Source organism: Homo sapiens, chromosome 1 (assembly GCF_000001405.40).
Source record: "Homo sapiens chromosome 1, GRCh38.p14 Primary Assembly".
Lineage (NCBI taxonomy): Eukaryota > Metazoa > Chordata > Mammalia > Primates > Hominidae > Homo > Homo sapiens.
This window is the reverse complement of record NC_000001.11, coordinates 146767920-146780583: the sequence shown is the minus strand read 5'-3', so window position 1 is coordinate 146780583 and position 12664 is coordinate 146767920. Positions and strand designations below refer to the sequence as shown.

Here is a 12664-nt window from a genome sequence, read left to right as displayed (position 1 = left end):
TCTGGGGTCGGGGGCTGGGGGTGGGTGGTCAGGTGACAGCAACTTGAACTGACACTAAAATAGGAAAATCCACATGCTCCTACTTAAAACAGATTCCAGATGGAGACACCAATGATGGAGTCAGTGGGTATAATTTGAGGTTAATTGTGCTGCAAATAGTCTTTCTTTTAATGATGAATGAAATGTTGTCTTTTAAAAGCAAGCTTGGTAGATAACTTCTGCATAGATTATCCTGAACTTATGCCACATAAGAAATTGACTTTGTTTAATGGCAAAAATAATGGCTGAAACACACAGGTACACAAATTCTCCCTGCTGGCTTCATGTACAAAATCACCGGGGAGAGGCAGGGATCAGTCCTGGTAATTTTTTCTTAGGGACCCCCTTTTGTTCTCAGCCTGAGATGTCATAGATTTCCTTCAGGTCAGTATCAGGCATCCCAAATCTGTGCCTAGTTCTGTATGCTTAGATCCTGCTCCTTCCTGAGCACTCCCTGGTTGAGACCGCTGCACACTAATTTCTCTGCCCACCCACTGTCACTGTCTTTCACTCACCTACTTGGACCAGTCTGTACCCTGTCTGGAGACTGGTTATAGCTTCACCCTCAGGACTCGTGGCTGCCCACACCAGCTGGTCACAACCTTCAGCCAGGATCATCACTCTGGGGGCTCCTCTAGCCACTCTGCCCTTCCAGTGCCACAGGGAGCAGGGAGGTGACTGCTGTGCTTGGCAGGCTGATAAACTACTGGCACTTGCCTGCGAGGATAGGCTCATGCCGAAGCATCTCCTTGACGGTTGCCAAGGGTATGCTCCTGATTGGACACATGGGCTCACTGGCTTTGTGGCTTCCTGGGAACACATCTTTAATAGTAGCCTATTTGGCACCATCCTGGGCCCTGCAGGGGGCAGTGGAAGGAGCAAGGGCTGTGGCCAGACCCAACTGGGTGAGGACCTGGATCTGCATCTTCATATCTCTGAACCTCACAGGGTGAGAGGATTATGTATGACACAGGCACAACACTTCACATACAATCAACATTCAACAAACGTTGGTCCCTTTCCTCCTGCCTTCTGCCCCACCACAAAATCCCAACATGATCAGGCTAATTTCCTGGAAGGGGAATGCACCAGGCTGCCCTCTGCTTCTGTCTCCTGGCAAGGAGTAAGTGAGGCTGTTACCTGCTTGTTTGCTGCTTGAGATTTCTTCATGGGGGGCTCCTCCTTAATGGGTCCCTGCTTTCCTTTTTTGACCCTCCGTTTCAGCTCATCCTCTTCCTTTTGTCGCTCCAGCTCCTGCTGTAGCTTCTTTTCTTGCATTTCCTTTGCCAGCCTCTCCTGCTCCCTTCATCAAACCAGGCAGAGAAAAAACAGTTCAGGGGCCCCCATGCCTCACCCCTCTGCTGCCTGGGATTTCCAGGTGGAGGGACATTGGGCAGAGCTTTCTTGGGCATAAAAAGAAAGAACAAAGTAAGCTGGATATGTGGAAGGAAAGGAGAAAGGAAGAGAAGGAAAGAAAGAAAAAATGACTACCATCTATGTTTGAATGGTCATTCATCAAGACTCTGATTTATTGAAACTCAACTAGGAGGAATTCTCCATTAATCTGTATTTTGAGTCCAATCTCCTCTCATGGGAGAGTGAGAAAAAGGCTGAAAATAAGCTTGATATTAGCACTTAAAAAAAGCAACTTTCAAAGATTGTTCTGGTATTAGTGCAGATGAGGCCCGCCTCCCATAGCTGAGCATGTTTGCTGTTCAGAAAATAAGAATTTTTTTTTTTTTTTTGACAGAGTCTCGCTCTGTCACCCAGGCTGGAGTGCAGTGGTGTGATCAGCTCACTGCAACCTCCACCTCCCGGGTTCAAGCAGTTCTCCTGCCTAAGCCTCCTGAGTAGCTAGGATTACAGGTGTGCACCAACATGCCCGGCTAACTTGTATTTTTAGTAGAGACGGGGTTTCGCCATGTTGGCCAGGCTGGTCTCGAACTCATGACCTCAGGTGATCCTCCTACCTTGACCTCCCAAAGTGCTAGTATTACAGGCATGAGCCACTGCGCCCAGCCAGAAACGGTATTTTCAAAGCAGTTTCTATGGTGGCTAGCTCAGAGCCATGGTGCTCAGTCTGAAAGCCGTGTTCCCCTCCTCCACCCTCTCTTTCCCTTTCCGCTGTCATTCAACTGCTCCTGCCCCTGCTGCTGACAGCAGAGAGTGGACCAAAGCCAAGCACCAAGCACAAACAAGTGAGGGAATGGTACTTCTGAAAATAGTTAACCCAGCTATTTTCATCCAGGAATTCCTAATTGTTTCCGGTTGCCATGGCTCTCTGCCCACTGAAGCAAACTCATTTACTTCATGGTGTGTGTGTGTGCGTGTGTGTGTGTGTGTGCGTGTGTGGTGTGACACAAACAAGTTGTTGCTGCACTTTGAGAATCAAATTTGCATTTTCCAAGTCCACCATGAGATGAATGCCTGAAAGCAACAGCCCTGGTGAAAAACGAGTTTCCTCTAAAATCTCAAAGCAAGGCTTTCTGTAACTCTGGAGGACTGGGCATTTCTATAGTGGACCATGCCACAGAAAGATCAGGGCACACCCAGCTGGGCGCTGTGGCTCACGCCTGTAATCTCAGCACACTGGGAGGCTGAGGCAGGCAGATCACTTGATCCCAGGAGTTCAGTTCGAGATCAGCCTGGCCAACATGATGAAAACCCGTCTCTACTAAAAATACAAAAAAATTGGCCGGGCATGGTGGTACATGCCTGTAATCCTAGCTACTTGGGAGAGTGAGGCAGGAGAATTGCTTGAACCCAGGAGGTGGAGGTTGCAGTGAACTGAGATTGTGCCACTCAAGGCGTGATGGAGGAACTCCAGCCTGGATGACAGAGCAAGAGTCTGTCTCAAAAAAAAAAAAAAAAAAAAAAAAAAAAAGATTAGGACATACTGTAGCAGCAGGGAGGGCAAAAGCTGTTTCAGGTCAGTGGGAGAAGTGTGGAGCTGGAGGAGAGAACAGGGTAAATAGTAGGTGAGTATCTAGGCTCTGTACCTCCAGCGCCTGAAATCCCAGGGAGGAGGTAGGAAATAGAACCACTGCCCCCCACCCCATCCCTGCAATCTTTGAAGATCTGAGGGCAGAAAGGACACATGTCCCACTGTTCCCATCCCTCTGAGATAGCCCGAGGTGGCAGTCCTAAGTATCCTGGGCACTAGGAGGCATTGGGGGATCGAGTAGTTTCTGTGTGGTTCCCAGTGAGGGGCAGAGAAAGTGGCTGAGGGTGCTGGCTTGTGAGTCTGCCCACAGTCCCAGGATTGAGGATCTGCCCAGGCTGAGGATCCCATGGCAGCTAGACCTCAGGGGATGGGCAGCACCACCCAAGGCCAAGAAGGGGACCCAGGCAGGGGGAGGAAGGGCTGAGATTTGGGGAGCAGTCACTATGCCCAGGTCAATAGAGTGGACCCTGTATCACCAGCTGTGGACATTGAAGCACCGAGGCAGTGAGCACAGAGGCTGATAAGCCACACGCGGGGGTGCTGGTCGGGGGGGCCAGCAGGGGCCCCAGGGCAGCACAGAGGCCAGTGGCCCCTCTCCCAGGGCCACCCATGACATTACAGCCTGGTCCCAAATGCCCGCCAGTGAGAAATAAGGAGAGTGGGAGAAACCCTGAATGGTGCAGCAGCCAGCACCCTCGATGGGCGGGATGCATCTTTCTGCTCCTTGCAGGTCACCTTCCAGGGCCTTCTGCAGCTCCTGCTGCCTGCCTGGAAGATGGCTTGGGCTCACACCCCGGTCCTGGTCACTCTGTGGGGACGGTCCCGGGGGAATGGCTTCTGCTCTGGCCAGCCCTTGGCCCTGACCTCTTCTTCCGCTCGCGGAGCGCCTGCTGAATCCCCCGATCGAATGTGAGTTTCTCCTCCTCAGTCAGGGCATCATATTCTTCCTCATCCATGTTTTGGAGACCCTCCTTCTCTTTCTCAAGAGCTCCCTTGTGCTTGCGTTCTGTGAGGGGAACAGAGACGGGAAGGTGAGGAAAAGTCCTTCCCAGTCTCGCTAGCAGCCTAAGCAGGCGGAGTAGGGTCTTAGTGTGGGGCAGCTGGTGCGGCGCCTGGTCTGCCTCATCCCTGGTTGCAGGGGTGGGGGGGTCCCTTCATCCATGCACTTCCACATTTGGGCTCTGTCTGCAGGTGGCTGAACAGTGGCCCCCAAAGATGCCCATATCAGATTACTCAGAACCTGTGACCGTGTTGTCTTCCATAGCAGAGGGACTCTGCAGATGTGATTAAATTTAAGGATCTTGAGGTGGGCAGATTATTTTGGGGGGCCCAGTCTAATTATAAGGGTCCTTTCGAGGGATGCAGGAGAGTCAGTCAGAGATAGTGATGATGTGATAGTAGGAGCAGGGGTCAGAGGGCTGCAAGGAAGGGGCCAGGAGCCAAGGAGTGCAGAAGGCCTCTAGAAGCCAGAAAAGACAAGAAAAAGGGGCTACCTAACAGCCAAAAAAGGAACGTGGCCCTGCTGAGAAAAGTCTGGAGCAATGACCAGGCATCCCTCAGCAGTCATCAAGCCTCCAGCTGCCTCGTTTTCCAGAAAGTTCATTTCTCCATAATGATCCACTTGAAAATAATTACCACTTCTCATTTTCCCCGTTATCTTTGGAATGAAATTTCTCCTGGTTAAATTGTGGGCTCTTCTCCCCTAAATCATCTGCATTTGAAATGTCCTAAGGTAGCATACTGTCATACTACTATTACATTAAAATCTCATGTTTGTTAACATGTATGAACATGCCAGGCACTGGGGAAGGCACTTTACATGATTGCTTATTTAATCTCCACAACAGCCCTAGGAGGGAGGAGTTATCATTCTTATCTGTGATTATCCCTTAATAAGTGGCAGGGAAAGATGTTAGGACTTCTGACCCCGGAAGTGTAAGACAATACATTTCTATGTTGTGTTAAGTAACCAAGTTTGTGGTTGCTATGGTGTAAATGTTTGTGCCCCCTCGAAATTCCTATGTTGAAACTGAATTCCCCAAGGGGATGGTATTAAGAAGGGCCTTAGGGAGGTGACTAGGTCACAAGGATAGAGTCCTCATGGCTGGGATTAGTGTCCTTATAAGAGGCCTGAGGGAGCTTGTTTCAGGACTTAGTGAGAAGATGCTTTCTGTGACCAGAAGGTGACACTGTTTCTGTTGGCACCTTGATCTTGGACTTGCCAGCCTCCAGAACTGTGAGAAATAAATGTCTGTTGCTGATAAGCGACCCAATCTATGGAATTTTGTTATGGCAGTCTGAAAAGACTAAGACAGTGGTCATTTGTCACAGCAATGATAGAAGACTCATATACCACCCACTGACTTGACTCATTATGAGCATATGCCACTAACGGGTTCATGGTGACAGGGCCATTTGCACACCAAGGGAAATTCCCTGCCCTGCCCTACGGATTCCAGGTCTAGGCATGTGATTCACACTTAGGACAAAGGCACCAGCTCCTTCCTCACACCTCCCTAGCACAGCATTCTCACCGTCATCCTCGCAAGTTTGAGCTGTGGACTCAGACACCTGCATTTGAGCTCCTTCCCGGCCACTTATCAAGAGATAATCACAGATAAGAATAAAAACATACGGCCGTTGTAGAGATTAAATAAGCGATCATGTAAAGTGCTTTCCCCAGTGCCTGGCATGTTCATAGATGTTCGACAAACATGAGATTTTAGTGTAATAATAGTTTGACCGTATACCATCTTAGGACATTTCAATTTAGATGATTTAGGGGAGAGGAGCCCACAGTTTAACTGGGAGAAATTTCATTCTGAAGATAAGTGGGAAAAGGAGAAGTGGTAATTATTTTCAAGTGGATCAGTATGGAGAAATGAGCTTTCTGGAAAACCAGGCAGCTGGAGGCTGGATGACTGCTGAGGGATGCCTGGTCACTGCTCCAGATTTTTCTCAGGATGAGACTATAAAGAAGCTGACTTTGAGTTCTGTTCAAGGACTTCGACAGCCCAGTGTTTGTAAGTATTTCCTTAATTGGAAAAGCATTATGATTTGAGTAGATAGTGTTAGAAGGGAGCGGTAAGCCGGAGTGAGGAAGGGCAGTCGTGTGGCTGGAGCCGAAGCTCCTGGGAGGTGGGGCTCTGACTCCCGTGGACAGCGCCACCAGCCTCTGTCCTTCAACCCCTGCCCTGGGGGGCCAAGATTTGCTGGGGCTGCTTCTGACTACATTGGGAACTTAAGCTAACATTACTTGTGTGTGTGTGTACCTATCTTTCAATCAAACCTTTCAGTTATTAAAATTTTTCTCAGGCCATTGGCATAAGGATAGGAAAAGCAAAGGGTTTAGAATTACATGCACCCGGTTCTCCTACTAATTGGCAATGTGATTTGGCACAAGACTTTTGCTATCTCTGAGCTACATTCTCCTTTAGTGTAAAATGGGGACAAGATTCACAGGGTAATTGTGAGGATTAAATGTCCCAAAGTATACAAAATATCTGCTACGGTGCCTGGTGTGCAGCAGGCTAAGGTGTAAATGTTTTGGAAAATGTATTAGCACCGTGAGTTTTATGAGAAATGCACAGTTGGCTTAAACAAAACCAACAAGGAAATCAGTTGCCTGAGTCAGGATGGGACCCAAAATGGCTGTAATTGCAGAAAGGATGGAGGGGTACAGTGTGATGGGAGGGAAGCAGGAATGCACCTGCTGTCAGCAAAGCGTTCATCATAGAACTTCCCAGCCAGCCACTCGCGTCCCAGTTCCCTCCTAGCAAAGCAGAAATACAACTCCTGGCCACCTTACAGGGCAGAGGTGAGGCGCCAACGGAATAGCAAATGTCAAAGTTTCACTTAAGCCCAATGGAAAGGTAGGAGGCCTTGCCTTCTTGCTCCTTTTTGGCTTTCTCCCGGGCCTTCATGGCTGCGTAATCCTGGGCCATGTTGAGAATGTATATATGCTCCCGGCTGCCAATGGCCTTCAGCAGGCAGAGGAGGGCGGCTGCAGCATTCCGAGCAAAGAGAGTGTCGAGGCCATCAAACACCACTCCTCGGTAGCAGTCACTCAGCTGAAACCAGAGAGAGCAAAGACAGTTACTATGGCCACAACCTCATTTGTTCTGTTTATGCTTTTACTGGGGCTGCAAAGGGTTCTGCAGACCTACTGGGCCCCAATGCAAACACCATGCCTTTCTGCTTGCTAAATCCAAGGTGCTGTCATAAAATAAAAGAAAAGAATAAAAATGTTTAATCAGCCCGTCTTTTTTTTTTTTTTTTTTTTTTTTTTTGAGACAGAGTCTCCCTCGGTCACTCCAGCGCCCAGGCTGGAGTGCAGTGGTGCAATCTCGGCTCACTGCAACCTCTGTCTCCCAGGTTCAGGTGATTCTCCTGCCTCAGCCTCCCAAGTAGCTGGGATTACAGGTGCCCACCACCAGGCCCGGCTAATTTTTGTATTTTTAGTAGAGACAGGGTTTCACCATGTTGACCAGATTAGTCTCGAACTCCTGACCTCAGGTGATCCACCTGCCTCGGCCTCCCAAAGTGCTGGAATTACAGGCATGAGACACTGCGCCCAGCCAGATGGTCTTTATTACAATAATAAGGGTTTATTCTGTCTGTAGAAATAAATGAACAAACAAAAATGTTAAAGGGCCGATCTGGGAAGATCCATGAGGTACACAAAAATGAGATGGAAAGGGAAAGATGCTCCCAAGCACAGAGTCACAAGCAGCAGGGGGAGCAGCTGGGCCTTTCGTATTTTTCTTATTAGTCTTACTGCCTTGGAGCGTAATGATTTTGGTAACAGTAACCATTGAAGAACAGCCTCTGCCTTACTCAGTGTTACTCAAAGTATAGCCCATAGACTGGCCACCAGTGAATGAGCGTTAGGTTTTTGATGAGACAAGAAGCTTGTGTCAGAATGTAAATGACCTGTATCACTAAACACACTATTTGGTTCAGCTGGCAACTGAACAGGTACCGTGGCCACATCATTCCTTCTCTGCAGCTAAACTTTGTAGCAAGACTTTGTTGATGAAAGAAGCCCTGTAAGCTCCACGTGTCATCAGAGACCAGCATTTTGAGTAGCACAGCTCCACTGGCTTACTTCGGGGCCTTACCAGTGTTTCTCAGCCTTTACTCTGGGTATCTAAAACATTGGCACACTTATGGGAACACCTTGTTCAAATCAGTTGAAAGTGATGTACCTTTAATGTAGTAGCAGTGCAAATCTTAACATAAAAACTTTCTTGTGATGATATTCCTCCTCTTCTGGGAACGTCAAGTTAATTTTGTTGTATTTAAATCTGCAATTAATATTGTGGCCCTAGTTGAAAACACAAAGCAAACACCCAGCTCCAGGACCTGGTAAGCAATGTAGCTGTGTCTGCAAACCATGAGCAGAAACAGGCTTAAGTGATACCCTCCTCAATCCTGCTGATCTTATTTTCTTGTCTTTAACTGTAGAATTCTTATGGAAAAAAAATTAAAAATTAGAAAGAGCGTTACTGTTTTTCTGACTTTAAAAGCAATATGTCATTGTAAAATAATTCAGAAATGTATAAAGAAGACTAAAATTCTATAATCCTGCTACCCAAAGATAACAATGGTTAACATGTATTTTAAAAGTTTTTACTACGTGTGTAGTATACATTTCTAAATATTTATATAGAATGTTATTATGTTTTAACCAGTATTTCCTAGTTACTTCTTTTTCACTTAATAACATTGAAAATGTGTTTTTGAAGCAATTAACATAGCTCCAAATTCTAACTTTTAGAATGGCTCCACATTGTAATTTTTAACACATCACTCTCTTTCTGGTCATTAAAAAAACTTTTGTGTAGTCTTCTGCTCTCTGGTCCTTTAAGAAGGTGAATGGCTTCAGGCTGTAGACTGGGCCAGCGTCGGGGGTTGACAAGAGCTGTCAAAAAGACAAGCAAATGACTGCCCTCCGGGCTGCCGAGCTGCCGTGGGTGGCTGATGGCCCAGAACCTCCGTCCAGGGTGTGGGGATGGTGCGTGAATGCCAAGCCCTGCAGCTCTGCGCAGGTGGCATGGACCCACCTGTATCCGCTCTGCCAGGATCTGCACGAGAAGTTCATCCGGGAGCACACAGCTCATCAGCCCGGTCTCGCCTCCGACACTGGGATGTGGGGTCACGGGAAAGCATTTTTAATGATGCGAATAATAATACAGCATGCATAGATGCTGACAGAAGTAGAGTAGGGGGAAAGTGGGAGAGAGGGGACAACTGCAGGAATTTAGCCATTGGATAAGAGAAGGGGTGGGGCTGGGTGCCCATGTGCAGGGATCAGCCCTGGGTGAAGGCAGGGCAGACACTCAGCTGTCGAGAAGGCACAGCCCTGTGTGTGGATGGAGGCTGCTGGAAGACTTGGTGGCCGGAAGATGAGGTCATTGTCTTCTGATTGCTGCAGCTTTCTTGGTGAAATCAGAATAGAGATCATCGGCTGAGAATGAGGAAGAGGAAAATATTTTGGAGGCTAGGAGAGTGATGAGAGCAATAAAGCAGTCATCTTGAATAGATGCAGAGCTGAGCCAGACCAAAGGGCCCATTGGAGACCTGTGGTCTTAAATTTAAATTAAGATCCTTCAGGAGAGGTGAGAGTCTTCCCCAGCTATGCTCAGCTGGTCTGCATGGAGTAGGTGGAGGATTAGGTTTGCCAGGGTTGAAGCTTTGCTTGAGAGTGTGGTGAAGGGCAAGTTGCAAGGGGGTGCTATGGTGGCAGACCATGGCATCCAGACTGGATAGGGAGGGCACGAGGTGGGTGCTAGGTAGTGAGGATGAGGACTGGAGGTTTCGATGGGGCCAGGTGCTTACCAGAGTTAGTCATCTGTAAAGTGAGAAGATGGCTGTGGGAAAGCAGGATTGTGATAGAGAGATCTTGGAGTTTATGGGTAGTGGTGAACAATGTCTAGGATGTGGTCAGGGAGGTAAGTAGCTGAGGAGGCCATGAAATTGAGAAGCAAGAGTGTTGGATTAAATATCACTCAAAAGATCAGGATTGTGATTTTTGTACATTGATTTTGTATCCTGAGACTTTGCTGAAGTTGCTTATCAGCTTAAGGAGATTTTGGGCTGAGACAGTGGGGTTTTCTAGATATACAATCATGTCGTCTACAAACAGGGACAATTTGACTTCCTCTTTTCCCAATTGAATACCCTTTATTTCCTTCTCCTGCCTAATTGCCCTGGCCAGAACTTCCAACACTATGTTGAATAGGAGTGGTGAGAGAGGGCATCCCTGTCTTGTGCCAGTTTTCAAAGGGAATGCTTCCAGTTTTTGCCCATTCAGTATGATATTGGCTGTGGGTTTGTCGTAGATAGCTCTTATTATTTTGAGATACGTCCCATCAATACCTAATTTATTGAGAGTTTTTAGCATGAAGCGTTGTTGAATTTTGTCAAAGGCCTTTTCTGCATCTATTGAGATAATCATGTGGTTTTTGTCTTTGGTTCTGTTTATATGCTGTATTACATTTACTGATTTGCGTATATTGAACCAGCCTTGCATCCCAGGGATGAAGCCCACTTGATCATGGTGGATAAGCTTTTTGATGTGCTGCTGGATTCGGTTTGCCAGTATTTTACTGAGGATTTTTGCATCAATGTTCATCAAGGATATTGGTCTAAAATTCTCTTTTTTGGTTGTGTCTCTGCCCGGCTTTGGTATCAGGATGATGCTGGCCTCATAAAATGAGTTAGGGAGGATTCCCTCTTTTTCTATTGATTGGAATAGTTTCAGAAGGAATGGTACCAGTTCCTCTTTGTACCTCTGGTAGCATTCTTATACACCAATAACAGACAAACAGAGAGCCAAACCATGAGGGAACTCCCATTCACAATTGCTTCAAAGAGAATAAAATACCTAGGAATCCACCTTACAAGGGATGTGAAGGACCTCTTCAAGGAGAACTACAAACCACTGCTCAAGGAAATTAAAGAGGATACAAACAAATGGAAGAACATTCCATGCTCATGGGTAGGAAGAATCAATATCGTGAAAATGGCCATACTGCCCAAGGTAATTTATAGATTCAATGCCATCCCCATCAAGCTACCAATGACTTTCTTCACAGAATTGGAAAAAACTACTTTAAAGTTCATATGGAACCAAAAAAGAGCCCGCATCGCCAAGTCAATCCTAAGCCAAAAGAACAAAGCTGGAGGCATCATGCTACCCGACTTCAAACTATACTACAAGGCTACAGTAACCAAAACAGCATGGTACTGGTACCAAAACAGAGATATAGATCAATGGAACAGAACAGAGCCCTCAGAAATAACACCGCGTATCTACAACTATCTGATCTTTGACAAACCTGAGAAAAACAAGCAATGGGGAAAGGATTCCCTATTTAATAAATGGTGCTGGGAAAACTGGCTAGCCATATGTAGAAAGCTGAAACTGGATCCCTTCCTTACACCTTATACAAAAATCAATTCAAGATGGATTAAAGACTTCAATGTTAGACCTAAAACCATAACAACCCTAGAAAAAAACCTAGGCATTACCATTCAGGACATAGGCATGGGCAAGGACTTCATATCTAAAACACCAAAAGCAATGGCAACAAAAGCCAAAATTGACAAATGGGATCTAATTAAACTAAAGAGCTTCTGCACAGCAAAAGAAACTACCATCAGAGTGAACAGGCAACCTACAAAATGGGAGAAAATTTTTGCAACCTACTCATCTGACAAAGGGCTAATATTCAGAATCTACAATGAACTCAAACAAATTTACAAGAAAAAAACAAACAACCCCATCAAAAAGTGGGTGAAGGACATGAACAGACACTTCTCAAAAGAAGACATTTATGCAGCCAAAAAACACATGAAAAAATGCTCACCATCACTGGCCATCAGAGAAATGCAAATCAAAACCACAGTGAGATATCATCTCACACCAGTTAGAATGGCAATCATTAAAAAGTCAGGAAACAACAGGTGCTGGAGAGGATGTGGAGAAATAGGAACACTTTTACACTGTTGGTGGGACTGTAAACTAGTTCAACCATTGTGGAAGTCAGTGTGGCGATTCCTCAGGGATCTAGAACTAGAAATACCATTTGACCCAGCCATCCCATTACTGGGTATATACCCAAAGGACTATAAATCATGCTGCTATAACGACACATGCACATGTATGTTTATTGCGGCACTACTCACAATAGCAAAGACTTGGAACCAACCCAAATGTCCAACAATGATAGACTGGATTAAGAAAATGTGGCACATATACACCATGGAATACTATGCAGCCAAAAAAATGATGAGTTCATGTCCTTTGTAGGGACATGGATGAAATTGGAAATCATCATTCTCAGTAAACTATCGCAAGAACAAAAAAACAAACACCGCATATTCTCACTCATAGGTGGGAATTGAACAATGAAAACACATGGACACAGGAAGGGGAACATCACACTCTGGGGACTGTTGTGGGGTGGGGGGAGGGGGGAGGGATAGCACTGGGAGATATACCTAATGTTAGATGACGAGTTAGTGGGTGCAGCACACCAGCATGTCACATGTATACATATGTAACTAACCTGCACATTGTGCACATGTACCCTAAAACTTAAAGTATAATAATAAAAAAAACAAAAACAAAAACAAAAAAACCCAAAAGATCAGGATTTCTAACTGGTGCTTTCC

The 12664-nt window shown here is 46.2% G+C and overlaps 1 pseudogene across 1 annotated transcript in view; it reads right to left on the bottom strand.

Moving 5' to 3' along the window:
• Positions 1-12664, bottom strand: part of HYDIN2 (HYDIN axonemal central pair apparatus protein 2 (pseudogene)) — a 335703-nt pseudogene that overhangs the window by 41451 nt on the left and 281588 nt on the right. Inside the window, exons 44-46 of the transcript NR_103556.2 lie at positions 6870-7053; positions 3848-3989; positions 1180-1342 (exon numbers count right to left, since the gene is read on the bottom strand). The product of NR_103556.2 is annotated as an HYDIN axonemal central pair apparatus protein 2 (pseudogene) (transcript). The remainder of the gene's footprint in view (positions 1-1179; positions 1343-3847; positions 3990-6869; positions 7054-12664) is intronic.